The 5,010-nt window shown below is 38.6% G+C and overlaps 1 annotated feature.

Moving 5' to 3' along the window:
* Positions 465–634: an enhancer, noted in NCBI's record as "experimental_24915 CRE fragment used in MPRA reporter constructs". NCBI's record gives its function as "activates a minimal promoter by MPRAs in K562 erythroleukemia cells, with activity observed for both the introgressed and non-introgressed 12:114964159 variant alleles {active_cell/tissue: K562}" and the evidence as "EXISTENCE:reporter gene assay evidence [ECO:0000049][PMID:34662402]".

Here is a 5,010-nt window from a genome sequence, read left to right as displayed (position 1 = left end):
GAAGGAGCACACAGTGAGGTAGAAAGGGAACCACAAAGTGTGTTTGGTATCTGCTAAGCCAAGTGATAAGAATTTTCCATAGAAGAGAAAGTGATAATGTGTTATAACTACCGCTGCTGATTCAGTAAGAGGTTGGGAAATAGAACATTGGACTTAGCAATGTGGGAAAAAAATGGTAACCTTGACAAAAGAAGTTTGGTCAAGTGGTCAGGGCAAAGGTGGGTCTAAGAAAGAATGGAAGGAGAAGAATTAGATAAAGTGGGTACAGATGATATTTCAAGGTGTTTCATTTCAAAATTAAGTAAAGAAATAGGAATGTAGATGGTGAGGGATGTGAGGTCAAAGGAAGGCTTTTTTTTTTTCTAAAATTGAAGACTTAGTGGGAAGTTTGCATACTCATGGAAATGACCCAATTGGGAGGGAAAAATGATGCCATGGGAGGGAAGAGGCAGAACTGTTGGACTGCTGTTCTTCAATAGTTGAGAAGGAATGGTGTCTACGTACCCAAGTGAGCATGCACTTAGGAGTCAAAACTGAGACGTTTCTCTGTAAAATCAGGAGAGAGCAAAGAGTAGGTAGATAGACCCTATGTGGGAGTCCAGAGAAGTTCTCCTCTGACTGCTTCTATTTTCCCAAAACAGTAAAAAGCAAGATTGTCAATTGGGAGTGAAGGAGGAGAAGGAGGCATCAGGGGTTTCAGGTGTAAAGATGAGATGCACAATAGTCTTCTAGGACTGAGAACATCAATGTCATAGGGGAATAGAAAATTATTGCTTGGCAGCTTTAAGGGGTTTGTAGTTATGATTATTGCAGTTGTATGCTTTTCCCCTCAGCTACATTCAACTGCATGGGTATGAGGCAAAAAAAAAAAAAAAAAAGGTAGAGTTGAATAAACAAGTTTTTGATTTTGCCAAGTGACTTCTATGAAGTGAATGAAGGAAGGAAGTTGTCATTATAACGATTAATCATGAAAATTAAGGTGAGTAAGGAGGAGAGAGAAACATCAGGGAATACAGAAAAGGCAATGAAAAAACCTTGAAATGTATAAAAGAGGAAAGCAGTAAAATAATGAGATGGCGGCATTAATTTATAAACAATGGATACAGAAAGCCTCTGTGAGGAGACATTTCAAAAAAGATCTGAAGTTTAAGAATGAACTATCCAGGCAAAGAGACAGGGAAACAGGGGGCTTGAGTATTCTAGGAAATGTAAAAAGTCTACAAAGACAGGGAGGTTGGCTTGAGAAGGCTTGGAAAAGTAGGCAGAGGCTAGGTCATGCAGAGTTCTATTGACCAAGGTAGAGAGTTGGGATTTCATTCTGAGTGCTATGGGAATTAACTGAAGAGTTTTAAAAAGGGGTGTAACAAGGTCTATGTTTTTAAAAGTTCATTCAGCACTTACAAAATAATACTGGTAGACATTTGATAAGTATGGTGGAGTAATTTAAAAAATACAGATAGTTAAACAAATGGAAAAAAAGAGGCAATTGTCAACTCCAGGAAAAAATGGAAAGCTAACCAAGTCAGTAAGATGATTAGAAGGTATTATTTAGCTCAGCTTTTAAGAAAATTAGTACAGTCATAACAATGTAGACACTGAATATTTAACCAAAAATTTACAGGACAGGGAGAAAATAAAGAGGAGAGGTAGTTATAAGGGAGCTAAATCCTTATCTACCATAAGAGGAGTTAACAGACTAAAATTGATAAAGAAAAATGACAGTATGTGTATATTATTTAGTTTTATGCAGATAAACCCTAGAAGAAATTAGTCACCTATGGGTAGTGGGATTGAACTAAGGATGGAGAGGAACAGAATTGACCAATTTTACATAAAAAGTTTTTAGTACTTTTTGAGTTTTAAAATATCACGCACATTGTTCACACTGTCACTGTGTGAGATTTTCTCAATTAATATTTTTAAGGGGTGGATACGTGATTTTCTGGATGGTTCGATTTACTCTTTTGTCTTGTTTTGATAAGAAAGTGGCTACCTGCAAGCACTAAGGGGCTTTCATCGGCTTTTCGAATTTTTGCTTGTGAGCAAATAACAGAAGAACAGAAACACTCTCCTGGTTGCCTTTCAGAGACAGAATTCTCTTTAATTTGCAGAACCATTTATAAATTCTCACTATTAACTCAAAAAAATTCACGCACATGCCTTTTTTGATTAAAATAAAAATTTCTGAAAAGTAACATTCTGGCTGCTGTGTGGAGCGTGCAGTTAGAAGGTATGGAGGAAGGCAATTAGGTTCCTACTGTCTTCCTCCAGGCTAAGGGTGATGGTGGTGTGATAGGTACTGTGGTAGTGTAACAAAGATGGACAAAAGTAAAGACATTTAAGATATTTGAAAGTAGAGCTTATGTGATTTGAATTGATTCAGTCATTGTTTTCCGTACCAGTCTGGGCTCAATGATTTATTTTCTCGTCTTTATTGGAGGTTATTCATAGTACCCACACATCCAAAGGAACAACCCCGACAGAAGCTGAATCTGTGTTGGTTTTACTGTTTCGCTTTCAAGCTTAATGGTTGGATGTTTCTACCACTGTGTAATATTGGGGTGGGATTGAAGTTGAGAGGTTCTGATTCCTCTCCTATGACGTGGTGGGATGGTTTGGCTGTGTCCCTACCCAAATCTCATCTTGTATTGCAGTTCCCATAATCCCCACATGTCTTGGGAGGAACCCGGTGAAAGGTAATTGAATCATGGAGGCGGTTACCTCCGTGCTGTTCTCGTGATGGTGAGTGAGTTCTGACAAGATCTGATGGTTTTATAAGGGACTTTTCCCCAACTTCGCTCTGAACTTCTTGCTGCTGCCATATGAAGAAAGATGTGTTTGCTTCCCCTTCCACCATGATTGTAAGTTTCCTGAGGCCTCCCCAGCCCAGTGGAACTGTGAATTAATTAAACCTCTTTCTCTTATAAATTACCCAGTCTTGGATATGTCTTTATTAGCAGCGTGAGAACAGACTAATAAAAGTGGGCTCTTGATAATTCATCAGAGGGTTAACTGCTTTACGAATTAATTATTGGAATTCATATGAGCAAGAAGCAGCCTCTGTTGCATAAAACCACTGAATTGGTGGCTTTATGTTTACATGTGATATGGATTCCTAGCTCTATGTAACCAGAACTATTCACATTTTGCTTTGGACAATTCTTTGTTGGGGGAACTGCCGTGTGTATTTTAAGATGTTGAGCAGCATCCCTGGCCACTACCCACTAGACCCCAGAACCACTTCTGTTTCCCTTCAGTTGTGACAACCAAAAATATCTCTAGATATTGCTGAATGTACCATGGGGAGCAAAATCACTCTTGTTTGAGACCTATTACTCTACAGCATTTATCGCAATGGAAATTATATACATAGATGTTATAATGTAATATAATATAATATAACATAACAATGTAATACACACACACACATATATATGATTTTTTTGTTTAATGTCCATTTCTCTTACCAGAATATAAACTCTCTGATAGTCAGAATTAATTTCTTTTCTGAAGGGCAAGGTAGGGGGAATCACCAGTAAATGATTCAGTATTGCTAAGCTTAACCTCAACTAGAATCCTCTAATGTCTTTTTTCTCTCTCATGTACCCTGTGACATTCTTCCCATCCAGTCTTTATTCAGTTAGTTTGTAGGATGAAACAGTACTTGATATTCCGTCTCATCATTTTATCTCATCAATGTCCACCCAGTCCAGATCATTCTCTATCTTGTCTACCATCTTCACACATTTTTTTCTAAAACATACCACAAACTGCCAGCTATGGTTATTTTAGGGAGTGGAATGGGGAAGACAGGAGATTTTAAGACAGTCATGATTTCCTCTACATGATATACTTCCATATGTGTTTAACTTTTTCCATTAAGTACATAACAATTTTTAATCAGGAAATAATCATATGTTTTTAAAATAAAAATAACCCCATTTTGATATAGATCTAAACCCTTAATGAGGAATGTTAAATGAATAAACCATGGAGCTAGGAAAGTAAAACATTTTTATAAGCAGCTTACACTTTAGGCAAATGTTGACAGCACCATTTGTGTGCGCATGTGCACGAGCATGAATGTTTATTACTTATGAGGTTCTAACCTCCATCTTGGGCTTTCCATCCAAGCCATTCCCGCCAAGTGTCCATTCAGCTTCCCAGACAGACTAAACAAGATGTGTAAAGAATGATCAGTAGCAATTTCAGACTATGCAGGCAAAAGCTGGAATGAAATAAAATGAAATGTTTCACTTTAAGGAATTTTTTAAAAAAACTTTTATTTTGGCTGGGCGCGGTGGCTCACGCCTGTAATCCCAGCACTTTGGGAGACCAAGGCAGGCAGATCACGAGGTCAGGAGTTAGAGATCAGCCTGGCCAACATAGTGAAACCCCGTCTCTACTAAAAATACAAAAAATTAGCCAGTCATGGTGGCGGGCGCCTGTAATCCCAGCTACTCAGGACGCCGAGGCAGGAGAATGGCTTGAACCTGGGAGGCAGAGGTTGCAGTGAGCCGCGATCGTGCCATTGCACTCCAGCCTGGGCAACAGAGCGAGACTGTCCCTCAAAAAAAAAAATATTTTAACTTCAGAGAGTACAAGTGCAGGTTTGTTATATAGGTAAACATGTGTCATGGGGATTCATAGTACAGATTATTTCATCACTCAGGTATTAAGCATAGTACTCATTGGTTATTTTTCCTCTCCCTTCTCCACCCTCCACCCTCCAAAAGGCCCCAGTGTATATTGTTCCTCTCTAAGTGCCCATGTGTTCTCATCATTTAGCTCCCACTTATAAGTGAGAACATGTGGTATTTGGCTCTCTGCTCCTGTGTTAGTTTGCTAAGGAGAATGGCCTCCACCTTCTTCATCCATGTCCCTGCCAAAGACAGGATCTCATTCTTCTTTATGGCTGCATAGTATTCCTTGGTATATATGTACCACATTTTCTTTATCTAGTCTACCATTGATGGGCATTTAGGTTGATTTCATGTCTTTGCTATTGTG

This window comes from Homo sapiens, chromosome 12 (genome assembly GCF_000001405.40).
Source record: "Homo sapiens chromosome 12, GRCh38.p14 Primary Assembly".
NCBI classification, from domain to species: Eukaryota; Metazoa; Chordata; class Mammalia; order Primates; family Hominidae; genus Homo; species Homo sapiens.
The sequence above is the reverse complement of the archived record's forward strand: the minus strand, read 5'-3'. Positions and strand labels throughout refer to the sequence as shown.